Raw genomic sequence first — 26,644 nt, 5'->3', positions numbered from 1 at the left:
GGGTGGTTGATGGATGGCAAACACCAGTTTCGATTACTCCTAAATTTATTAGTTGGCATTCTCTGCAAGGAAGAGCTTTCCCTTCTCCCTTGTTTATTTACTCGTGTTAGTATGTACTCATGGTTCCTATTTTATTCGACAGGTTGCATTAATATTGTTAGTTATTTTAATGCTCACACTGTTCCAGGTTGATAGGGAGAGCAGCTCTGTCCAGCTGCCTCCCTTTCCTGTGAACAGGGACAGGTCTCTTTCATTCATGAGCACCTCCTTGCTTCCTGACCAACAGAACATTGTAGCTTCCATGTTGTACTGTCCCTGTCCAGCCCTGGACAATATCAGCTGTTTCTCTAAGAAGCCAGCTTCCTCCAGTAGAGGATGGGATTTAAGACCAGTATTTGTGTGCTCATCACTGCCAGGATATCATCATTTCTAGGCCCATTCCGCATACATCTAAAAAATACATGTGTGCATATGCAGGCGCACATATACATGGCTATTTCTGTGTGTGTGTGTGTGTGTGTGTGTGTGTGTGTGTATGCAATAAAACTATGAGTTTGTATTGATACCTCCAAATTTTAATCCAACACTTTCTAGGCCACCTCCTTCCACACCTATAAATATCTCCTACAACTGCAAGACACTCCATCCTCACTGCCTTTGATATGTTTACTCATTTGCTCAGTGTCCCCAATGCCACAATCATGTAAGCCCACCACCTCTACTCCTTGGATACACAGCCTATACCTCTTTAAAACCCTTGTATTAGTCAGAGCTCTCCAGAGAGACAGAACTGAGAGGGTGAAGAGGAAGAGGGAGAGAGAGAATGATTTTCTTTCTTTCTTTTCTTCTTTTTCTTTTTTTTTGAGGCAGGGTCTCACTCTTTCACCCAGGCTGGAGTGCAGTGGCACGATCTCAGCTCACTGCAACCTCTGCCTCCCAAGCTCAAGTGATTTTCCCACCTCAGTCACACAAGTAGCAGGGAATACAAGTACATGCCACCATGCCTGGCTAATTTTGGCATTTTTTTGTAGACACGAGGTTTCACCATGTTGGTCATGCTGGTCTCAAACTCCTGGGTTCAAGCACTCCTCTTGCCTCAGCCTCCCAAAGTGCTGGGATTACAGGCATGAGTCATCGTGCCTGGCCGAGAAAGATGGGTTTTTAAGGAATCAGGCTGGCAAGTGCAAAGTCTGCAGGGCGGGCTGGCAGGCTGGAGACCCACAGCAGAGCTGATGTTGCAGCTTAAGTGTGAAGGCTGTCTGGAGGCAGAATTCCTTCTTTTCTGGGAACCTCAGTTTTTTCTCGAAGGCCTTGAACTGACTGGATGAAACCCACTCACATTGTGCAAGGTCTTCTACTTTACTCAAAATCTACTGGTTTAAACGTTAATCTTATCTTTACAAAATGCCATCTAGATGGGTGTTTAGCAAAAAAAACCTGGACGCTGTGGCTAGCCAAGGTGATATACAACACACCCTCTCCTGCTGTGTCCTCAGCCTACGGGCCTACTGACCTGCACCTCCCTGAGTTCTTGTGATTACCCTGGTCCTCAGCGCTGTGCTGAGTCATCCTTGGTTAAGACCCATGATTTGTGTGTCAGGGACAAAACCTAGAATTTTTAAAAACAGAACTGCAGGTGTCCTGCCTTTTGGTGGATGTGGCAGGTGCTCACTAGGATAGCAGCATGTGGACGTAAGGATCTGGTTTGCTTACGGGGCCCCCTTGGAGGTGTGCAGCTTTGCTACGATGCCCAGGCTGCCTGAGTGTAAAAGCCATTGGTTTTGAGTCACTGACATTTCATGCTTTCCTGATCCCGATAGTGTGTTGTTTCTTCCCGCAGATACTTTTCTGTCCAGTCTGTCTTCTGCTGACAGGGCACCTGTAGTCAGTCTTCCTCTTGTCATGGTATTTGCTCTTGATCATCCTGGTGATGTTGTACTGCGACTACCATGCCATACTGCACTGTGGTAACTGTCTGCTGAAATCACAGCCAGGACACATGGGGAATCTCCTTGTGTCTGGCAGCCTGAGCCATACCTCTGGCAGGAGCGGGTTCTCCCTTTGCAGCAGGTTGCATTGCTGCACTGAGGAAATGCTTTCATGAACAAAGATCCCAAAGGCCATATTAGCACTGAGCCAAATCAGGTCTGTTTCACAATCATGCATGAGGTTATGGGATGACCTCAGCTGCACTTACAGAAAGTATGTAATTCTTCACGAAAAATGCTGAGAGTTACATAACACACACTCCAGCTCCCTGAGTTTCTGGATTTAATAGAAATCAAATCATGTCCTATGGGTGTCAAGAGGAGTAAGAAGAACAGGCAGATGGCTGAGCCTGCAATGACCCCACACTGACCCTGCTGGGGACATGTGAGGGCTTGAGGCAAGGTGACGAGGAGGCTCAGAAAGAGGGCCTGGCAGCTATCCACATTGGGGCAAGGGCAAACTTGTGACAACAAGGTTTGTGTAGACTGGAAAACAAAGGGACTGACAGTTCGGACTCAGCTGCATGCAGACTTATGAGCAAATCAGGGACTAACCAGCCTCTCCTGTCCTGGCATCTCATGAAGGGACCAATCAGTGTGACCATCTGTAGCAGTTTAAAATATACTCTATTGCTTTTACTCTAATGATTTCATTCCTTTTTGGGAAATTTCCAGCATTATGAGGTGAGTACTGCTAGAGTGGATTTCTGTCCACAATCTATGAATGTGGGAATCACCCAAAGTTTTCGGTAATCTCATTCCACTACTCAGCCCAAATGCCTGGGCGAGTGTCCTAGCCAAGGAGGGTGCAAATACCAGAGGCACTGGTCATCACAATGCTGATCTCCCCATGCCGATCTCACCTTAGCCCAGGCCATCCCAGACACCCAGTGTTGTTACTGCCTGCGGGGGCTGCAGGTTCCCCAGAGCTAAGGCCTCTTTGCATCTAGTTGAAGTTTCTGTGGCACTGTCCTGGCCCATGAGCTTGAAGCCATGGAATGACCTCTGCGTCCCTGTGGGTCATACTCGTTCTTTACAGTGAGCATTGATCGATGCGGGAATCACTTCCCCAGCCCAGGCTCCATTACCTATGATGACAGTTTCCCTTCCTCTAACACTGTAAGCATGACAGTAGTAGATTTACAGTATTTAAAATTATAGAGCCTGGTAAAGTAATAATTGGTTCCACTTCTTTTTTTTTTTTTTTTCCTTTGAGAAGGAGTCTCCCTCTGTCACCCAGGCTGGAGTGCAGTGGCGTGATCTCAGCTCACTGCAACCTCCGCCTCCCAGGTTCAAGCAATTCTCCTGCCTCAGCCTCCTGAGTAGCTGAGACTACAGGCGTGTGCCACCATGCCCGGCTAATTTTTTTTTTGTATTTTTAGTAGAGATGGGGTTTCACTGTGTTAGCCAGGATGGTCTCGAACTCCTGACCTCAGGTGATCCACCCGCCTCAGCCTCCCAAAGTGCTGGGATTACAGGCGTGAGCCACCGCACCTGGCCAATTGGTTCCACTTCTAACATAGACCTGACTTCTTTCCAGGGCACAACTAGGAGGCCGGCCCCTCCCTGCTCTGTGTCCCCAATTCCCCCTACATCTTTGCTCTTACCTTTCATCTCCAGAAAACATTCTTCCCTTCCCACCTCCCTAAATCCTGCCACTTCTCAAATAAAATGACAACTACCTGCTCTGCTACTAAGGGGTGTGCCTTCTATCCTTGGTCCAACTCTAGCCCACACCCCTGCACACCTCTTCCAAAGCTCTTCACGGCTAACTCCAGTTTCCTATCATGCCGTGTATGTGCTATTTGCTTCTTTACACACGACCTTTTTTCTAAAAAGAACAGGAGGCTCTGGAGAGAAAAGTGGTGATGCCTTCTTTATATGTTTCCCAGAACCCATACATAAGACATTACAAATATTTGATTTTTTTTCTGATTATTTGGTTTTTAGGTCATCATTAATAGGAAATATAAAATTTGTCAGACAAGATTCTATCTTGAAGTTAAATAAGGGCAAATTGTTACAATCTGTTGAGACTATTTCTACACAAGCAGGCAGGCGAGTCAACCCCCAACACTCAGTCACATGACCAGAAATGGTGAAGCAGGACCCCACCTGCCTGCAGTCTGTGCCCTCCTCCGTCTCCTACCAGCCCGTGAACTCCCGCCTCTAATCACAGCAAGCATGACTCTCCTGACAAGTCTCAGTTCTACAATTTCTCCTTCAGGCTCACCTACACTTTTTCCTTACAGAGACTCTCAGACTCCCCTCCTTTTCAGTGAAAACATCTCTGTCCATTCAGAATAACTGCAACCTGGCTCCTTAACAGATTTGGTGAAGACAAAAGCAAACTTCCCACATAGTTCTGACAATTACAACTTCAGGAAAAGGAACACTGTAAGCAGGACTGTTTTACTATTGCTATTCTTTAAAAGTTGATTTTAAATATATATATATATATATATATATATACACACACACACACATACATACATATACATATATTTTTTATTTATTTATTTTTTTCTTTGAGACAGAGTTTCGCTCTTGTTGGCCCAGGCTGGAGTGCAATGGCGTAATCTCGGCTCACTGCAACCTCCACCTCCCGGGTTCAAGCGATTCTCCTGCCTCAGCCTCCTGAGTAGCTGGGATTACAGGCGCGCGCCACCACGCCCAGCTAATTTTGTATTTTTAGTAGAGATGGAGTTTCTCCATGTTGGTCAGGCTGGTCTCCAACTCCCGAACTCAGGTGATCTGCCCACCTCGGCCTCCCAAAGTGCTGGGATTACAGGCGTGAGACACTGCGCCCGGCCGACTTTAAATATTTTTTTAAAGTCTAGATGCACCCAGGGCTCTGGGTTATGTTGGTGAGCGGAACTCCATGCTGGAACATGGGGCCTTGACGATCTGCCTTGCACGCCTCTCTCTGGGCCTTACCTTTTTCCCTTCAGTGTCGCCACAGTAAAACTGTTCGGCTTTGGTCTTGCCCATCACCACGGGGTCAGCGGCCTCAAGGTGGGAAGGGTTGGCCACCAAGGACAAGGTAATGTTCCTGTCGGTGACACGATTGATCCTGCGGTGATACATGCCCAGGTGGTACTTCACATCTCCGGAGCCCTGATGGGGTAAACAGTGAATTTGCACCCTGGCCAAGGAGATGCTCAGTCTCCAAAAGAGCCCTTTTATACGGGAATTTTTTTTTTTTTTTTGAGATGGAGTTTCGCTCTTGTTGCCCAGGTTGGAGTGCAATGGCGCGATCTCGGCTCACTGCAACCTCCACTTTCTGGGTTCAAGCGATTCTCCTGCCTCAGCCTCCCGAGTAGCTGGGATTACAGGCATGCGCCACCACGCCCGGCTAATTTTGTATTTTTAGTAGAGATGGGGTTTCTCCATGTTGGTCAGGCTGGTCTCAAACTCTCGACCTCACGTGATCCGCCTGCCTCAGCCTCCCAAAGTGTTGGGGTTACGGATGTGAGCCACCATGCCCAGCCTTATATGGGATTTCTACTCCCAGGAACCCAACGCAGAAGGATATGGAGGCCTTTTCCCAGGATCATTCCCATCCAGGGCATAAGGAGAACGTCCCTCAGCCAGAGGGGACACACCCCTGCACTCAGAGTGGGGCTGCTGGACCTCTGACCAGGAGGTGGGCCACTGGCCACCTTTGTCCCAACACTAAAATTCTCCCAACAAGGAAGGCAAATCACAAATGGTACAGAAGAACCAACCCCCCGTAAGTCATTCTAAGAAAGAAGTGGAGCCAGGGGTCTTGTGTAAGTTGGGGCTATGCTGGATGTGTCTCTATGCAGGTGCCTCACCTCATCAGCTGCCTCCAGCTTTGAATCGAATTGACAGAAGATCTGTTCCAGCTCCTTCCTGATGACATTTGCAAGCACGTTCAGCCGCCCTCTGGAACGTATGGGCGAGTAGGGTGAGCAGAGCCTGAGGTCATGGTTTCCAGATGGCAGATGAGGGTGTTACAATCCCCCCCTCCCCCTCCCCCCAGGACACGGCACCTCCTCGGTTTGCAGCCCAAGGATAGCTGTAAACTGGAGCTAATGTGGGAACCGAGCCTCTCCGTGCTGGGCAATCAAGGCCACAGTGGGCAGCAGAAAGATAGAAGATGCAGCAATGCCATGGGCCTGAGGCTTCCTTACCCTTCTCCCTCCCCACACCTTCCCTATTTTCACAGTCTTGGCCTCCCCTTCAATGTCAGGAAGCAGCCTTCCCTCCAGGTTAGACCCCAACAAGGGAACTTGGGTTTAATTTTCATAAAGATGCACTGTAAGGCCAAATGCCAGTCTGAAACTACATGTGGCTTTGGAGGTGACCATGACTTTGCAGTCCTCCAGAGGCAGGCAATGTGAGAATCCCCTGCAAAGCAATACACCCTCAGGTACCAGATGAGCCCAGACTCACAACTGGCACTCAAGGAGGAAACAGCTGCTCTCTCAGTGCCTTTACCTGGTGCCTCCTACACAGCCCACAGGGATGGTGAGAAACCAGGTTGGGCGCGCCCTTGGCTGTACCTGTGTGGCATGCCCATGATCACGTAGTCCACGCCATTCTCACTAGACTTGTCAATGATGGTCTTGAGGGCAGGGATCAGTACCTCGCAGCCTTCTAGACCAAAGCGCTTCTCAGAGGACCACTTCCGCTGTAGGAACTCCTCAAACCTGGACAGGGAACCAAGCCACCTTGAAGGGCAATGTCACTCTTCCTGACCAAAAAGAGGGGATTCTGGCCAGGCATGGAGGCTCACACCTGTAATCCCAGCACCTTGGGAGGCCGAGGTGGGCAGATCAGCTGAGGTCAGGAGTTCGAGACCAGCCTGGCCAACACGGTGAAACCTCATCTCTACTAAAAATATAAAAATTAGCCAGCCGTGGTGGTGTGCCTCTGTAATCCCTGCTACTCAGGAGGCTGAGGCAAGAGAATCACTTGAATTCAGGAGGCGGAGGTTGCTCTGAAGGCTGACTCTACTTGTCTGGTGTCTCTTCACACATGTGCAGATGGAGCTTTGCCTGTACCACCCCAAACCCCCTCTCACCTCGGCCAACAGGCTGCACACAGGCCCGATCAACACAGACAGGGTCACTGCTTCCCTGGGAATGTCTGCCCCATGGCCCAGGGCCAGACCCATACCTGGTGGACCGCACAAGCCTGGCCAGCAGGGTCCGTTTCTCCTCATTTGTGAACTGCATGATCCCAGGGGTCTCAAACTTCTGCCGGATCCACTGGCACTGCTCCAGGTCATTGATGAACATGAACTCCACCCCAATATGCTGGCAGTAGGCCATCTATTCCATACAGAAACACACAGTCAAGGGGATTTCTAACCAGGCCTGGCTGAATGAAGACTGCCGACTGCCCATTCAGCCAGAAGGAGGGGATAAGCAGGAGGCTTGTTCTGAAATGTACTCCAATCAAGTGTGACTGAGGATGGGATGGAGTGGGTGCCAGGCAGAAGCCCTCTTCATAGGGTCATGAAGTGCTTCCTTCAGGGACCTGGGTCACTTGTACACAGAGAACCTCCTAGCCTTCCAAGGGCAGGCCAAGGGACAACCCCAGTTCTACTCTGTTACCTTTGTGGCAAGAAGCACAGACCGCAACAGTTGTGGAACTGGGTCCTTCCCCAGGGAAGACAGGCTGTCATCAAGGTCAGACCTGTACCAGCACCCATGACAGGAAATGCCCATAGGGTGTCATAGGCTCAATGGCTGTTAAAGATTTGCAGGTTTTAAAAATTATTTATTTATTTATTTATTTTTTTGAGGCAGGGTCTCTGTCATCGAGGCGGGAGTGCAGTAGCGCTATCAGAGCCCGTTGCAGCCTCAACCTCTTGAGCTCAAGTGATCTTCTTGCCTCATGTTTTGAATTTTTTGGAGAGATGAGGTCTCACTATGTTACCCAGGCTGGTCTTGAACTCCTGGGCTCAAATGATCCTTCTGCCTCAGGAAGCAAGATTGCCCATAAGACAAAAGTCAGGATCCTGAGCAGATCAAGATGTCCTGTACCACGTTCACACTGCACAGCTGGGTGAGGAAGCAGCATCCAGATCTGCAGAGCTCGGCAGGGAGGAATTCAGGAAGAGGAGAGGTGCCAGGAGCGAGAGGAGGCACCAGGCTCTTAGAAGTCCATCTCGGGGCCAGGCGCGGTGGCTCACGCCTGTAATCCCAGCACTTTGGGAGGCTGAGGCAGGCAGATCACAAGGTCAGGAGTTTGAGACCAGCCTGACCAATATGGTGAAACCCCGTCTCTACTAAAAATACAAAAATTAGCCAGGTATGGTGGCATGTGCCTGTTATCCCAGCCACTCAGGAGGCTGACGCAGGAGAATCGCTTGAACCCAGGAGGCGGAGGTTGCAGTGAGCCAAGATCATGCCACTGCACTCCAGCCTGGGCGATAGAGTGAGACTCCATCTCAAAAAAAAAAAAAAAACAAAAAACAAAAAGAAATCCCTCTCGGGCTGCCCTCATCCTGGTACTCCTGCAGAGGCCCAAAACTCGACCTGCACAGCTGCCCTGGAGGACCAGAATGAGAGTCTGAGAGCAAACTGCAAGTCAGCATGGAATAAAAAGAAGATAGGCCCTAATGTGGGCCAACAGACACTTTACAGACCCCCAAAGCCTCCTCTAACTGCCTTTACAGCAGCCACTGCTGCCAGAGTACTTAGAGTGTTAGGTCCTGCTCAGCAGCTCTCATCCATGACCCCACTTGGTTTTCACAACAGACAATGAGACCAGCTGGCATGAGCAGTTAAAGGATGTGCTGAATCTGAGACCAGCCCTGTTCTTTGCAGAGGAGGGTGGGCTATCCCTGTACACAAGCTCCGTGACCATGAAACAAAGCAAACTTTGCCTAAACTCAAAATTATGGCCAACCACAATACTCTAGTTATTATCCAAGTCAACAGAAGAAAAATCTTGCCTAGGAACTAAAAGAGAAAGTGCTGCTGGGAAAGACCCTAGTATTTAAGGTTTTTTTTTTAATTAATTAATTAATTTATTTATTTTTGAGATGGAGTCTTGCTCTGTCACCCAGGCTGGAGTGCAGTGGCACAATCTCGGCTCACTGCAAGCTCTGCCTCCTGGGTTCACACCATTCTCCTGCCTCAGCCTCCCAAGTAGCTGGGACTACAGGCGCCCGCCACCACACCCGGCTAATTTTTTGTATTTTTAGTGGAGACAGGGTTTCACCATGTTAGCCATGATGGTCTTGATCTCCTGACCTCGTGATCCGCCTGCCTCAGCCTCCCAAAGTGCTGGGATTACAGGCGTGAGCCACCGCGTCTGGCATTTTTTTTTTTTTTTTTTTTGAGACGCAGTCTCGCTTTGTCGCCCAGACTGGAGTGCAGTGGTGCAATCCCAGCTCACTGCAACCTCCGCCTCCCGGGTTCAAGCGATTCTCCTGCCTCAGCCTCCCGAGTAGCTGGGACTATAGGTGCATGCCACCACGCCCGGCTAATTTTTTTTGTTGTATTTTTAGTAGAGACGGGGTTTCACCGTGTTAGCCAGGATGGTCTCGATCTCCTGACCTCGTGATCCGCCCGCCTCGGCCTCACAAAGTGCTGGAATTACAGGCGTGAGCCACCGCGCCCGGCTATTTAAGATATTTTTATTAACCCGTTTGTTCCCCCACAAACCTCCTGATGAAATTTGATCCCCAATGTTGGAAGTGGGGCCACATGGGAGATGTTTTGTTTGTGAGGGTGGATCCCTCATGAATAGATTAATGCCCTTGCTCAGAGGTGAGTGGGTTCTTGCTCTATTAGTTCTTGAGAGAGCTGGTTGCTAAAAAGAGCCTGGCACCTCCCCACACTCTCTCTTGCTTCCCCTCCCACCATGTGATCTCTGCACAAGCAGGCTCCCCTCTGCCTTCCACTAGGAGTGGAAGCAGCCTGAGGCCCTCACCAAATGCAGATGCCCAATTAGATTGTGAGCCAAATAACCCCTTTTTCATTATAAATTATCCAACCTCAGATATTCCTTTATACTTTATAGCAATACAAAATGGACTAAGACAACCCCAAACCATATTTTCTTTTTTTTCTTTTCTTTTTTTTTTTTTTTTTTGAGATGGAGTCTTGCTCTGTTGCCCAGGCTGGAGTGCAGTAGCACGATCTCGGCTCATTGCAAGCTCTGCCTCCCGGGTTCATGCCATTCTCCTGGCTCAGCCTCCCGAGTAGTTGGGACTACAGGTGCCCGCCACCACGCCCAGCTAATTTTCTTCTATTTTTAGTAGAGACGGGGTTTCACTGTGTTAGCTAGGATGGTCTCGATCTCCTGACCTCGTGATTCGCCCGCCTTGGCCTCCCAAAGTGCTGGGATTACAGGCTTGAGCCACCACGCCCAGCCCCACAAACCATATTTTCTAATCACATCTAAGATAAAACTATGAACTTCTAAATTAGATGCACAAAAAATACAAGAAGAGGGTGTAGTTGGCCCCCTAATCCCTAATTTCAGAGTCAACATCAGTCCACTGTACCATCTCAACTTTACAGACACTTGGGGATCCATAGTGCCCAAGGTACTGACCAGCAGAAGAAACTACATTTCTGCAGAAACCCATTCAAGAAGACATGGCCAGCCCCAGAGTGGCTGTTAATGAGAACCTTCAAAGAGGACCTACCCTCTTTGGATGGGGTCCATGCCTGAGTTGCAAACCCAGTAACTGGCTATCTGTCCCTTCTTCATCATCACGACCCCAAATGACCCACTGGTGAGGGGTGCTGTGAGGGAAGGACTCTTCCCTTCATCACTACTGCTGTTTCCAATTACAGAGCTGGCAGAACTGTGCTACCCAGGCTCTGCCCATGCCTTTCCTCTCTCCCTTTTACACCTGACGGTGGCAGAATTTCCATTATTGAACAGAAGAAACTATTGGGTTAAAAACTCTAGAAATCAGTATCTCTCCAACATCAGCATTACTTTAACAATTAACTTGGAGATGTAGTTACCGGGCCACTAGATCATGCTGTGTTTTTCCTGTTCTTGGCCCTGTCTCCAGGAGAAAAGGGCAGCAAGATTCAGGGGCTGATTCTTTGTTTTTCCCTCTAATGAGACAATTTTTAGGAAGCCAATAAGTTGAATTTCCTCTAATTTTTGAAAAAGGTACAAATTGACCACCACATCACGTGATCAATAGCTTAAGATCTGTCTGATTATATCACCAATCTAACATACACACACATTAAATGTAAGTAAAGCATCACCATCAGGCAGGGCAATGAGAACTTTATGCAAATGTCTGTAAACTGTTGTGAAAATGGAGTCTTCTAAGTTGGGGCTGCTCTGGGGCCAGGAGCGCATACAGCCTTAGACTCCTGGGTACAGGTCCAACCATCTCAGACAACAAGAGCCAACTCCAAGGCTCTGGCATCAACTGGACTGAAAGGGAGGCAGCCCTTCAATGTGCTTCAGGCCCTCCACCCCCTTCATATGATGAAATCGAAATTACCTGGGATTCAAGATTCAGATAGGAAGTTAGCCATAGGGACATCAATGCCTATGCTCTCTGGGAAGGAAGGTCCTGAACAGGCCCCTGAGAGGTGACACTGTGACGTGCTATGGAGACAGTGACTCCATGGGAGCTTTCCAATGTGAGAGCATGTTTAAGGATGAGCTGCTGGGGCCAGGAGCAGTGGCTCATGCCTGTAATCCCAGCATTTTGGGAGACGAAGGCAAGAGGATCACTTGACTCCAGGAGTTCAAGATCAGCCTGGGCAACGTGGTGAGATCTCATCTCTATAAAAAATACAAAAATTAGCCAGGCATGGTGGTGTGCTCCTATAGTCCCAGCTACTCAGGAGGCTGAAGTAGGGGGATTGGTTAATCCCAGAGGTTGAGGCTGCAGTGGGCCATGATTGTGCCACTGCCCTCCAGCCTGGGTGACAGAGTGAGACCCTGTCTCAAAAAAAAAAAAAAAAAAAAAAAAAGCTGCCGGGCTCCCCACAGGGGACTCCTCTGAGGTAAAAGGTACTAGTGCTGAGTCTGCTCTCAGCACAGGCTGGTATCACCAGATGGCTGTTGTAACAGAAAATACACTGAAGGAACTGGGTGGAACACATGAGCAGTGAAATAACTTGGGGGTAGGGCCACTTGGAGAAGCTATATGGGGTGCCATTTGTGGGGGGTCCAGGCAACACAAGAACTTCACAGATCAGCAACATTCAACAGAAACATTATGTAAGCCACATATGTAATTTGTTTTTCTAGTAGACCCACATGAAATTTTCCTATTTTATTTGACCCGATGTATCAAACATTATCTTTTCAACATTTAAAAAGTCATTCAAATATTTTGTACATTTCAAGTGCTCAATAGTAACATGTGGCTAGTAGGCAGAACTAGAAACTATAGTCAGTGTGGTGATGTGGGTGCAGATAAAGGTGACAGGAAGGACCCAAAGGTTCATTCTTCTTGGATTAATCCTTATCACTCCCCCCTGGTGCCCAATACATCCCACTGGCCACAAGCTTCTGATGCTGGCACATAGTTCTGGTTTCTACCCCTTTCTCCTCAACAAGTGAGGAAGGCAGGCGGTGAAGCAGCTCCAAGCTGAGATGCTGACAATACTTCAGGATGCTCATCACAAACTACAGAAAATGCCAGCACTGGACACTCAGTTTTTTTTTGTTTGTTTTTGAGATGGAGTCTTGCTCTGTTGCCCAGGCTGGAGTGCAGTGGCGCGATCTTCGCTCACTGCAACCTCCCGCTCCCAGGTTCAAGCAATTATCTGCGTCAGCCTCCCATGTAGCTGGGATTACAGGAGCCCACCATCACACCCCGCTAATTTTTGTATTTTTAATAGAGATGGCGTTTCACGATCTTGGCCAGGCTGGTCTTGAACTCCCGACCTTATGATCCACCTGTCTCGGCCTCCCAAAGTGCTGGGACTATAGGCGTGAGACACTGTGCCTGGCCTGGACACTCAGATCTTTTTAAGCCACTGTGCAGCCAACTGGAAACACTGACAAGAGAGTTTTAAATTAAAATTCACTTGCGGCAGCAAGCATTAATCCCTGGGGTGCTAGAGGGCTTCTGATTTAGGGGACCTGGGCTGTGGCCTGGATATCAGTTCTGTAAGCTCTCCAGGTGGTTCTAATGTCCAGCCATGAGAGGAACAGCCTCAGAGAGCCCTGATGGCCAGTGTGGTTCAACCTGGGTTAGTTAGGGACGTCAGGATTCAGACTCTGCATGATAGGCAGGACCCCAGCTGATATATATACTCAATTCTGAGGGTCCCCATTCCAGGGTATTTCCTCAGTTTATTTTAACCTCGATCCTTTAGCTCTGAATACCAGGAACAGCATTAAGTAACAGTAATAGCCAACTCTTGGCATGCACCTCTCATCAAATCCATTCTCCCCTCTGCAATGGGCATAGAAGTCACCCTTATACTGAGGGAGGCTATGACTTGCCCAGGATGGAAGAACTAGACACAGGTAGCCTAACAGCAGAGCCACAACTCTTAGCCACTGTCTATAATGTGTGTGAATGAAAGAATTTCCTGGCAGGCTTAGTACTAACAGAGTCCAGAGAGAAGGAAAAAAATGAAACAAAACACAAGGATGAGAGGAACAGAGGGAGAGAGGAAAGAAGAGTGGCCACCACTCAGCAGCCCTGACACTGAGCTGTGCACGAAGCCACCCCTGACTTGAGGCCTGTCCCTCAGGGTTGAAGTGACTCTCCTTCCATCTGTAATAAACTCCTAGTGGGATCTGAAAGCAGAATTTACTTCCCCTCTCTATGGCTGATCACAAAACCACTGGTTTCTATCTATAAAATGGCAACAATAGCCACAAAAGTCCTCCTTCCCTTACAATTTTTAAAAAGACAGACAGGTTCATGTTTGTAATCCCAGCACTTCGAGAGGCCGAGGTAGGAGGATGACTTGAGCCCAGGCATTTGAGACCAGCCTGAGGAACACAGCAACACCTCATCTCTACAATAAAAAATTAAAAAAAAATTAGCTGGGCATGGTGGTGTGTACCAGTAGTCCCAGATACAAGAGGTTGGGGTGGGAGGATGGTTTGAGACTGGGAGGTCAAGGCTGCAGTGAGCCAAACTGTGTCACTGCATTCTAGCCTGGGTGACAGTAACTCTGTCTCAGAGAAAAAATAAAATAGAAAGATAGGACAAAGAAAAAAAATAAAACTAGTCTCAAAGCCATCCTGCCAATACAAGTTCTTAAGAAGTCCATTAGATTTTTCCAGAAACTGCTCTTACCTCCAGCCGACGGATGATCTCCCGCAGAGGAAGTGCTGATTCCTGTCCCCCGATGAAAGTGGTGGTGGGCAAGTGGAAGACCTTGTCGAGGTCAGACTCATCCAGGCCATAGAACCCTGCAGGGCGATGTGGGCAGGACAAGCCAGATGAGGAGGGATGGGGCACAGCCATGCAGGGACCACAGTTTATGGAAAGGGGAAGGAACTCCCCAGGTGAGCAAAAAGAGAAGAAAAAAATCATATAAAAAGCCCCTGATATATGTGAAATAAGTAATATTTTACAGCCAGAAACACAAACTTTAGCAATAAATAGAAGCTGAGGCTATTAGAGTATGACAGGTAAGTCACAATAAAATTCATATTATGCATAAGTTAGTTAAGTACACCAATTATTCATAATTTAGAGACAAATTTATTTCAAGGTCCCAAAGATAACCAATTTTGGGGGTGGGAAGAGAGGTCCATGAAAAGGCACTGGGTAAGTCAATCAAAAATCAGTACAATAGTTAAGGAGGAATTAAAGTAGAAAATGAAGAACTGATATAGAAGAACAGATCATATGACAATAATATATGTATGTGGTGAATGTCAAAAAGCTGGAGGAGGGGGACTAAGAAGTGAAGGAGAAACAGTCACCAGAAGTCAACTTGTCTGTTGGAGCTCCAGGCAGGGGTGCACCACAGGGCAGCACAGCAGCGTGCAAACAACCCCCAGCCTTGGATTAAGGACCATCGTCTTCTCCTGAAATTCCTGAACTATGCGTTCTGAGCCCATTCTGCAGGCAATACTCAGCAGTCACAGGTACAACCCTCCCATCTCCTGACTCCAATCACTCAGCGGGAACCAACTGAGTAAGCACTAATATTCGCTGCAGCACTGTGGGGGAAGACAACACCTCACCTGAAAGTGCATCTCAGTCTGAGAAAGAATAATGCTGGAAGAGCTCTTTCTGTGGCATTATATGCTTGTTTCATCTTGCTGTATCAAAGAGGAAGACTGTCAAATGACACCATACATTCTTTTATCCAGTTTGGCATCTCTCCTGACATAATATATCAGCTAGAGTACAGCAAAAAGCACAGTTCAAGAATCACTAGCGCTTGAATACCTTACATCAGCATTTTCTCAGGCTCCAGGAATGCACAGTGAACTGGTATTTTGCGAAGTCTCCAACATCTGACTAGACCTGATGAAATGTTCTTATTGTTTCCTGGCCAAATTAAGACTAAAAGGAGCCATAAGTGTCCAGCACGGGATTAACGGTGGTAGTTTGCAAACACAATTGTGTATTTTGATCTCCTTGGAGATTTATAAAAAGGCTTGTTTCTAGGCTCCAACCCTGGTACTGAATCAGTGAGTCTCAGGGTGGGCCCACAAATCTCCCAAGGTGATTCTGATTCAAGCATGGTTTGGGAACTACAGCCTTTATTTATCTAATGCTTTCGGAGAGGTTTTTTTTGTTTGTTTTGTTTTGTTTTTTAAGTCTTAAAAGCAAACTCTACATTTTCCAAGCCCTGTTTGTTTTATTAAAACAAAGCAAATCTGGCTTTTTTTTTTTTTTTTTTTTAACCTGGAGGGTGGTGATGGTAGTAGTGGCTTAGTTAAGCCTGAACACCCATTCCCTCCTGTTAGTCTGTCAACACTGAGGGCACAGCAACCACTTGGGCCTAGGTGAAGCACGTGGCTCTTGCCATTTATGGCCTGGCTTTTGGGCAATTGCCCTATAGTATTTATGGAGGAAAAACAGAATCATCTTTGAGAAATTTTTCCTGACTAAAAAACTCAGGCCAGGTGCAGCTGACTGGGGACCAGAATAACAGTGCACATTTTGTTGGGAAATATTTTGATTGTGAAACTATATCGGTCCAGTGTATGCCCCCAGATAAGCGCTGTGTATTGGTTGCAGTCTTTCAGCATGGACCCTGTGAAGTAGGTGCCTACAGATATCCCTTGACCTCACCATGTGATGGTCTTTCACTTCTATCATCCTGAGTTCATAGTTCTTGGGCTATACTGCTGAGCCTCAGAACTGCTGGTACACTTTTAGTTCTTTAGCTATTTGAGAAACTAGATCTATATATGAGTGCTTTGTGAAAGCGGAGTACACATATTCTTCCCTATTCCCCCAATAAGTACAACTAAAAATCCTAGACATTATATGCAAAACAATCATAAGACAACTCTGAAAGGTGGAGAGAATAAGGCACACCAGCTAGGGAGGTCTCAAGGCAAAACACACCAGGGAGTTCCCTGGAATTTCTTTTTTGCTTCAAATATTGCAGACCTGGAGCAGAAGAACCAGCAACCCCAAAACTTTAAGAGGTGTATTTGATAACAAAAGCCTGACAAAAGCTGCTCTCTACCAAAAGACCAGGAAAGAGGTAGCCTATCAAGACAAAAAACTTTTAGACAAAAACTGCTCTACTACAGGCAAATACCAGAGAAAACACTGTGACCCCACCCTCACCAGGCTGTAATGGGCCCTAGCACCCAACCCCATCACAGAGGTTTCAGCGAAGGCCCAAGAGGGAATCCAAAATGTCCTTCTCTCTGGGAGGTAATGCATCAGCCCCTTCCCCTAATCCCAGTAACGGTGGATACTTGAGTGGGAGAAGGACTTCCACCTCTGCTGGCAATAACAAGGTGGTGCCCTCCCCTTCCCCCACCACAGTGGGGAACAGTGTCTACAAAAGGTCTGCTATAACAGAAGATTTAAATAAGATCCTGACTCTCACCATACCCAAAATGTCCTGGTTTCAATAAACTATAATTCATAACAAGACCCAGGAATATCTCATAGTGAATGAGAAAAGAAAATCAACAGACATCAACACCATGATGACCAATATGTTAGAATCGCCTGTGATTTGAACAGTCATCATCAAACAATTTCTTTTTTCTTTTTTTTTTTTTGAGACAGGGTCTCACTCTGTCGCATAGGCTGGAGTGTACTGGTTTGATCACTGCTCACTGCAACCTTAACCTCCAGGGCTCAGGTGATCCTCCAACCTCAGCCTCTTGAGTAGCTGGGACTACAGGCACACAACACCACGTCCAGCTAGTTTTTGTAATTTTTTTTGAGATAGCATCTCGCTCTGTTGCCCAGGCTAGAGTGCCGTGGCACCATCTCAGCTCACTGCAACTTCCGCCTCTCGGGCTTGAGCAATTCTCCTGCATCAGCCTCCTGAGTAGAGCAGCTGGGACTACAGGCGTGCACCACCACACTCGGCTAATTTTTGTATTTTTAGTAGCGACGGGGTTTCACCATGTTGGCCAAGCTGGTCTAGAACTCCTGACCTCAAATGATCTGCCCGCCTCAGTCTCCCAAAGTGCTGGGATTAAAGGCGTGAGCCACAGCACCCGGCCTAGTTTTTGTATTTTTAATAGAGATGGAGTTTTCCCACGTTGGCCGGGCTGGTCTCGAACTCCTGAGCTCAAGCAATCTGCCTGCCTTGGTCTCCCAAAGTGCTTACAGGCGTAAGCCACTGCACCTGGCCCAAACAATTTCAATGAGCAATTAAGAACACGATAGAGACAAATTTTTAAAAGTGAGTTACAAATTAGAATGTCTCAGCCAAAAACTGAAGATGCAAAGTAGTACCAAATAGAATTTTTTTAAAAAATCAAAAAACATTCAATGGATAGGCTCAATGGCAGAATGGAGGGGCAGAGAATCAGTATATTTGAAGACGGAACAACAGAAATTAACCAATCTGAAGAACAGAAAGGAAATAAAAAATGAACAGAGCCTCAGGGGACATGTGACAGTATAATCAAAGATTTCACATACATATAAATGGATAAAATCAAAGAAGCAGAAAATAAAGAGGGTGGCTGAAAAGGTACTTAGCTAAAAACTTCCCAAATATGGTAAAAGACCAAACCCAAAGATTCAAGAAGCTGAGTGAATCCACAGGATATTCCCAAAGAAATCCATGCCAAAACACATGATAATTAAACTTCTGAAAAACAATATCAAAGAAAAAATCTTAAAAGCAGTTGTTGTAAAGTGACACTTTACCTATAGGGAAAACAATTCAAATGACAGGAGTTCTCATCAGAAACCATGGAGGGTAGAAAGAAGTGGTATAGGCTGGGCACAGTGGCTCACGCCGGTAATCCCAGCACTTTGGGAGGCCGAGGTGGGGCAGATCATGAGGTCAGGAGTTCGAGACCGGCCTGACCAACATGGTGAAACCCCATCTCTACTAAAAATACAAAAATTAGCCAGGCGTGGTGGTGCGTGCCTGTAATCCCAGCTACTCAGGAGGCTGAGGCAGAAGAATCGCTTGAACCCAGGAGGCGGAGGTTGCAGTGAGCAGAGATTGCACCACTGCACTCCAACCTGGGCAACAGAGTGAGACTCTGTCTCAAAAAAAAAAAAAAAAGAAAAGAAAAGAAAAGAAAGAAATGGCACAACACTTTTCAGGACCTGAAAGATAAGGGAAAAGGATTATGTCTAACCAGAATCTTACATCCACCAAAAATGTCCTGTAGGAATGAAGGAGAAATAGAGGTTCCCAGGCAAAGGAAAACTAAGTTTGTCATCAGCAGACCTGCCCTAAAAAATTGGCCAAAGGAAGTATTTTAAACAGAAAGGAAACAATAAAAGAAGGAATCTTGGAACACCAAGATGGAAGAAAGAACACAAAAAGCAAAAATCTGGGTAAATACATCAGATTCTCCTCCTCTTGGGTCTTCTAAATTATGTTTGATGGTTGAAGCAAACTTATAACTCTGTCTGATGAAGTTCTAAATGTATGTAGAGAAAATATCTAAGATAATTATATTATAAATGCAGGACAGTAAAGAGATATAAAAGGAGGTAAGGTTTCCATACTTAATATGTATTGAAAAGTTATGACACTAGTAGATGATAAGTTATGTCTATATAAAGTAGTAATACCTAAAACAACTACTAAAAATGCTATATAAAAGGATACACTCAAAAACACGCCAGGCGTGGTGGCTCACGCCTGTAATCCCAGCACTTTGGGAGCCCAAGGCAGGTAGATCATGAGGTCAGTTCAAGACCAGCCTGGCCAACATGGTGAAACCCTGCCTCTACTAAAAATACAAAAAAATTATCTGGGTGTGGTGGCAGGCACCTATAATCCCAGCTACTCAGGAGGCTGAGGCAGGAGAATCGCTTGAACCGGAAGGCAGAGGTTGCAGTGCACCAAGATCACGCCCCTGCACCACTCTAGCCTGGGTGAAAGAGCGAAACTCCGTCTCAAAAAAAAACCCAAAAAACCATAAACTATACATAATTAAAAAAAAATTTTTAAATGTGGGTTTAAAAATCCACAGCACAGGAAAATGAAAGCAAAGCAATGAAAAGCAGAACAAAAAATAAATAATAAAATGGCACACTTGAGCCCTAACATACCAATAATTACATTAAATATAAATGACCTAAATATATTAAATAGAAGACAGAGATTATGAGAAAAGTGGATAAATATAAAACAAAACCCACCTATATGCTTATCCACAAGAAACTCACTTCAAATGTGATATAGACAAGTTGAAGTAAAGGGAGGAAAAAATGCATCATGTAAACATTAATCAAATGTAAGTAGGAATGGCTTATATTAATATGAGATGAAGTAACTTCAGAGCAAAGAAAATTACTGGAGACAAAGAGGGACATTCCATCATGGTAAGAGGGTCAATCTACTGAGAAGATACAGCAATCTGAAATGTGTATACACCAAAGAACAGAGCTGCAAAATAAGTGACCCCAAATCTGATAGGACTAAAAGGAGAAAGAGACAAACCCACATTTATAGCTGAAGACTTTAATACCCCTCTCTCAATAACTGACTAAAAAACTAGACAGAAATTCAGCAAAAATACAGAACTCAACAGCCATTAACTAACAGGATCTAACAGATGTGTGTGTGTGTGCACACGCGCGTGTGTGTGTAGTTTACAGATAGGGTCACCCAGGCCAGAGTATAGTGGTGCAATCATAGATCACTGCAGCCTTAAACTTCTGGGCTCAAATGATCCTACCACCTTAGCCTCCTGAGTGGCTAGGACTACAGGCACGCGCGATCATGCTTGGCTAATTTTGTTGTTGGTGGTGGTGGAAACAGGGGTCTCGCTATGTTGCCAGGCAACAAACTCCTGGCTTCAAGTGATCCTCCCATCTTGGTCTCTCAAAGTCCTGGGTTTATAGGCATGAACCACCATGCCTGGCTCTAGCAGACATTTAGAGAATACTCCACCCAACAATAGCATTTCAACAGCAGCATTCTTTTCAAGCACCCATGAAACATATGCCAAGACAGACAATATGGTGGGCCATTTTTTAAAAACCCAACAAATTTAGCACAATTCAAATCATATAGGGTGCATTCTCCAACCACAATGAAATCAAACTAGAAAGCAATAATAAGAAAGGTAACAAGAAATCTCCAAACACTTGGAAACTAAATAACACCCTTCTAAATAATCCAAAGGCCAAAGACAAAATATCAAGGGGTATACAAAGAATACAATAATGACCAGCCCGGGCAATACAGTGAGATTTCACCTCTATAAAAAATTTTAAAAATAGCCAGGCATGGTGGCATACACCTGTAGTCTTGGCTACTTGGGAGGCTGAGGTGGGAAGATAACTTAAGCCCAGGAATTAGAGGCTGCAGTGAGCTGTGACCATGCCACTGCACTATAGCCTGAATGACAGAGCAAGACCTTGCCTCAAAAACAACTGAAAGAAAATGAAAATATAACATATCAAACTTTGTAGGACAGCTAAACCAGTACTGAGAGAAACATTTATAGTAGTAAATACATCAGAAAAGAGGGACAGTCTCTAATCAATAATCTAAGTTCCCATTCCTAGAAAAGAGGGAAAAACAACAAAGAAGCCAAAAGCCAATAAGCAGAAGTAAGGAAACAATAAAGAGCAGAAATCAATGAAATTGAAAACAGCAAAACAACAGAAAAAAACCAATGAAACAAGTAACTGGTTCTTTGAAAAGATTAGTAACATCGACAAATCTCTTACAAGACTGACAAATAAAAAGAGGACACAAATGACCAATATCAGGAATGAAACAGGATATCAATACAGACCCTTCAAATATCAAGAAGATTCTGTTCCTTTTCTTGAAGTTGAAAAAGAAATTTAAAAAATGACTATCAAAAATAAGGGAATACTATAAATAACACTACACACATTTGACAACTTAGATGAAATAAACCACTTCTAGAAGAACACAAACTACCATTACTCACCCAATATGAAACAGATAATTAGAAAAGCCCTATGGCTAATAAGGAAATCTAATTAATAAATAAAAACCTTGTGAAAAACTAACCTCTAAGCCCAAATGATTTTGCTGGAAAATTCTATAAAGTATTTGAAGAAGAGTTAACACCAATTCTATTTACTGTCTTTTGGAAAATAGGAGAAACACTTCTCAATTCATTTTATGAAGCCAGAATTACCCTGATACCAAAAGCAAAGATAGTACAAAAAAAGAAAATGACCAATATCCCTCATCAATATGGATGCAAAATATATAAAGAGACAGATACAAAGACATATAAAGAGAATTATATACCATGATCAAATGGTGTTTATTCCACTAATCCAAGGCTGGTTGAATAATCAAAACTCAATCAATACAATCCACGACATTAGCATTAAATCGTCTACCACGACATTAGCATTAAATCATCTACATTAAAGAATAAAAATCGGCCGGGGGTGGTGGCTCATGTCTGTAATCCCAGAACTTTGGGAGGGTGAGGTGGGCAGATCACCTGAGGTCGGGAGTTCTAGACCAGCCTAGCCAACATGGTGAAACCCCCACCTCTACTAAAAGTAGAAAAATTAGCTGGGCGTGGTGGTGCACACTGGTAGCCCCCTGCTACTTGGGAGGCTGAGGTGGGAGAATTGCTTGAACCTGGGAGGTGGAGGTTGCAGTGAGCTGAGATTGCACCACTGCACTCCAGACTGGGTGACAGAGCAAGAATCAGTCTCAAAAAATAATAATAATAATAATAAATCACAAGATCATATCAATGCAGGAAAAACATCTGACAAAATTCAATATACATTCATAATTAAAACTATCAGAAAAAATATGAATACAGAGGAACTTCCTCAGCTTGATAAAGAGCATTTACAAAAAATCTACAGTTAACATTATACTTAATGATGAAAGACTCAGTGCTTTTACCCTTAGATCAGGAACAGGGCATAAGGCTATCCACTCTTACCTCTCTTATTCAGTACGGTGCTAAAAGTTGTAGCTACTGTAATAAGGCAAGAAAAGGAAATAAAAGGCACACAGATTGGGAAGGATGAAATAACTTCCTATTTTCAGATGACATGACTGTCTATATAGAAAATCCTAAGGAATCTACAAAAAAAAAAAAAAAGCCCTAGAATGAGTTCATCGGGATCTCAGAATGCAACATAAACACTAAAATCAATTATATTTCTATATACTACCAATGAATATGTGGACACCAAGGTTAAAAAAGAAAATAATAGTTAAGTGTAAATATAACAAAACATATACACAATGTATATGCTGAAAACTACAAAAAGCTGATTAAAAAAATCAGTGATCCAAATAAATGAGGAGACATACTATGTGCATGGATTGGAAGACAACATGGTAAAAATGTATTTTCTCCCTAAATGGATCTATAGGTTTAAGCCAATTCCTATCAAAATGGCAGTAAGGTATATGTAGACATAGATATGCTTATCCTCAAATTTATATGGAGAAGGAAAAGGCCCTTGAATAGTTAAAACAATTTTGTAAATGAAAAATAAAGTTTAGTAGCTACAGTAATCAAGACACTGTGGTATCGATGGAAAAACAGACACACAAAGGAAAATAACTGAAAATCCAGATATAGACCCACACCAATAAGTCCAACTGATTTTTGGCAAAAGTACAAAAGCAATTCAATGAAGGAAAGACAGAGTTTTCAGCTAATGGCACCAGAACAACTGGACATCTACACACAAAAATATAAAATGAACAATAAAAGAATCTTGATCTAAACGTCTTATACAGAAATTTACACAAAATGGATGATAGATTTATATGTAAAACACAAAACTATAAAACCTTTAGAAAAATGTATAGGAGAACATTTTGGGGATCTAGGGCTAAGGAAAGAGTTCTTAGACTTCATACCAAAAGCACAATCCATAAAAGGAAAATTAATAAACTGGATGTCATCAAGCTTAAAAACTTAGGGCATAGAAGCTGAGGTAGGAAACGAGGGGGAAAAAAGATTAAAAACTTCTGCTCTGCAAAAGATCCTATTAGCCAAAGAATGGAAACAATCCATTCCAATGAAGAGGTCCTTCAACAGGTGAATGGTTAAAAACAATCATAGTACATCCACACCATGGAATACTACTCAGCAATAAAAAGGAACAAACTATTGATTCACACCAACAACCTGCATGAATCTCTAAGAAAATTATGCTGATTGAAAAATGCCAATCCCCAAAGGTTACATACTGTGATTCTACATTTATAATATTCCTGAAATGACAATTTCAGAAATGGAGAACAAAATAGTGGTTGCCAGGGAATACAAGTAGTGGCTGGGATGGGAGGGAAGTAGATATGGTCATAAAAGGGCAACAGGAGGAATCCTCGTGGTGATGGATGTCTAGAGTCTTACTTTATCAATTTAGTGTAGTGGTGTGATGTTGTACTATAGCTTTTCAAGATGTTACCACTGGGGAAGCTGGCCAAAGGGCACAGAACTGTTATTTGTCACAAGTGCATATGGATCTATAATAATCTCAAAATTAAAAGTGTAATTAAAAAGTAGAGTTTCACAGATATTAGAAGGATGATAAAAAAGATAACTGCTTAGAGAAGCCAGAGTGTAAAGAAGAGACTGGCCACCAGGGTGGATGACAACAGGCTGATGATCCCCCAGCATTTCGACTCTGGATTCCTCAAATGTGTTTTGCCCAACCGAGGGTCACTAAGAGTTCTCAGTAAGTTTTTATTAATACTTCAGTTGGCCTTCAAACATAAAACATTTTGGAAATCTTGCCCAAAATGCCCAGGAAGCAGAATCTGGAAGAATCCAGAGTCCAGTCAAAGCCTCAGCACAGAATGTGGAGGACAGGACAAGCCACCATGCAGAGCTGAACATGGCTTCATGTGCCCAGCTGGCTATGGCAGCAGCTAAAGGTGAATTATGCTGAAGATGGCAGCTCACAGTGAAGCGATGAAGCACACGTGAAGATGAAAAGTGCTCTTTGAAACACAAATGAACAGAAACAAAACGATACCATATAAGTAGCTCTACTTATTGGTTAATAATTAAAGGAAGGGAAAAACACATTTCAGAACAATTAACAAACTTAAAAACACGTGACAGAAGTTGCGTCAACTTTCCCCATATTGCATGCTAGGAAAAGTTGCACATCCTATTCAAATGAAGTCCTCAACTCTGAAAAGGTGAAAAGCTCATTATTTTCATACCTCCTACTGTTAGCATTCGAAGTCGTTCCTTGAAAACTGCAAGATCTGAGAGGCAGAGTGGGGTATCATGGGTGAGCGCAGAAGGAAAAAGACAGGTGAGAGTTAGTTTAAAAAAGACCCAAACACCAAAACCCTACACCATTACCACAGTAACAGGTAGCACAGACACCATCACAGGGACACACACACACATCAAGGGAGAAGTGGGTGGGTTACATGGTCAGGGGGTCAATTTTATTAAACATGGAAATGATTCATAGAACAGCTGGAATAAGGTGAATCAGAAGGAGGGGAGGTTAGCACCCTGACGATGGAAAGCCATCAGGCAGCGTCATTTGAGAGCTCCTCATCTCCTTAGCTTCAAGAAGTGGCGGATAACAGCACTTTCCTGGGAAGTCACTACTTTGAGATGAAAATTGAGGAAAAGAAAATGAAAAAGCCTAATTTTTAGAGCAGATATTTCTCAGCACTAGATTCAGGTGGCAGACTACTCTAAACCGTAAGATTTTGAAGAATTCTAAAGAATGGAAGGATTCCTTGATCTCCCATTTCAAGAAGGCAAACTAGGAAAGAAGTGCTTGCTAGCTGAAAACAACCCAAGAGCCACAGCTGCATCTCCACAGCTGTACACTTCCTTCTACCTGTAAACTTTTCATCGGATTTCTACTATACATAACAGCTTTCTGAGCCACTGGTGAAATCAAGGCATTTATTTGGATACACAAAACATGCTCCTGACCCTTACTGTCTGGGCTTGTGGGCCTGGGGGATGGGGTCAGGAAGGTAGGCAGTAACACAGGCACACAGAGAAGCTGATGGTTGAGCACTCAGAGTGCTGTCACTGGGTATGCTCCCTGTACTGGGAGTGCAGAGAAAGGCCAGCAAGTGCTTCCTTTGAAGTCAGACTCAGACCCCAAGAAACAGGCCTGCTTCCTAGGGCTGTGACAGGGGCTAGTCTCCAGTCCTGGGCAAGCCACACTGTCTCCTTCCCCCAGGGAACAACAACCACTGAAGAACTCAGAGCCAAGTGGCTCTTAAGACAACAGAATATCTAAATGTCGATATTTTGCTTAAGGCAAGGATGAAGAATCTTAAATTTTCTCCTTCAATCTTCAAAACCAAGACATGAGACCATGTCAAGATGCCATAAGTGAGGTGTATGTTAGCTACCCTGGAGACTCCAGGTAAGGATCTACACAGGGGAGGGCCTCGAAAGGAACCTTAAATACTCATACCCATTTTTAAAAATCTAAAGGCAATGTGGTAAAATGTTTACATTCTTAGTACTGAGTATGTGAATGCTCTTTTATCTGTACTTTTTTATATTTTTAAAATAAAAGGCAAACAAAAGACACAAACCAAAGAAGAGGAGAGTTAAGAGAACAATAGAAGATATTCTGGTTGTCACAATTTACAGAAAGCACACAGATTTTCCAACACCTGAGTGCTTTGAAGCATTGTAAATTACTTCTTGAAGAGTGCAGGTGCTGTGAGGGAGGAGAGAGGGAGCGGATGGAGATTTGGCCACAGTACTTCCAAGTGAAGCACAGAAGCAGGAATGTGACGCTGGGAACTAGGGGACTCGGTTTACCAGTTTCTGGGTATCTCCAGTCAAAGAATCTTCTCAAATGTCAGATGTCTGCTTGGCCAGCTTCATTCTCCTTGAGGGTGACCATATCGCCCATGGCTTCAACCACCCTGGTTATGTTCTTAGCTTGGCCCCGCCCTCCCGAGTCACTTAGGAAACCTCGTCTCCAGCTCCTCGGTTATCTGTGGCACACAGCACGCTGCACATAGCAATCAATGCTTACTAAATGAACTGCTCTATATCACTCTGAAATTACAAAAGCTAATTAAACGTCAACTCTATTTTTAGCTTATTTTTCTCAGCCATCAAAGGAACAAACCGGAGAGCCCTGGAAGGTCAGGAGG

At 44.7% G+C, this 26,644-nt stretch overlaps 1 protein-coding gene across 10 annotated transcripts in view, besides 1 other annotated feature; it reads right to left on the bottom strand.

The window, feature by feature from the left end:
- Positions 1-26,644, bottom strand: part of OGDH (oxoglutarate dehydrogenase) — a 102,440-nt gene that overhangs the window by 27,992 nt on the left and 47,804 nt on the right. For 5 of the 10 annotated variants that reach the window (XM_011515408.3, NM_001363523.2, NM_001439007.1 and 2 more), the window contains 6 exons: positions 24,713-24,757; positions 14,224-14,339; positions 7,134-7,288; positions 6,518-6,664; positions 5,807-5,897; positions 4,926-5,105 (listed from right to left, as the gene is read on the bottom strand). In XM_011515408.3, coding sequence (XP_011513710.1) covers positions 4,926-5,105; positions 5,807-5,897; positions 6,518-6,664; positions 7,134-7,288; positions 14,224-14,339; positions 24,713-24,757 — 734 coding nt within the window. Of the gene's footprint in view, positions 1-4,492; positions 5,106-5,806; positions 5,898-6,517; positions 6,665-7,133; positions 7,289-14,223; positions 14,340-24,712; positions 24,758-26,644 lie in introns of those variants that run through there. The other 5 variants (NM_001439009.1, NM_001439008.1, NM_001165036.2 and 2 more) reach the window with 2 other exon arrangements.
- Positions 2,716-2,929: a silencer, noted in NCBI's record as "fragment chr7:44717745-44717958 (GRCh37/hg19 assembly coordinates)". NCBI's record gives its function as "represses an EF-1alpha promoter that drives an FKBP-Casp9 reporter gene in an ReSE screen in phorbol 12-myristate 13-acetate-treated (for megakaryocytic differentiation) K562 erythroleukemia cells {active_cell/tissue: K562(+PMA)}" and the evidence as "EXISTENCE:reporter gene assay evidence [ECO:0000049][PMID:32094911]".

Source organism: Homo sapiens, chromosome 7 (genome assembly GCF_000001405.40).
Source record: "Homo sapiens chromosome 7, GRCh38.p14 Primary Assembly".
NCBI lineage: Eukaryota > Metazoa > Chordata > Mammalia > Primates > Hominidae > Homo > Homo sapiens.
Note: the sequence above shows the minus strand (reverse complement) of the source record. Positions and strands in the feature narration are given on the sequence as shown.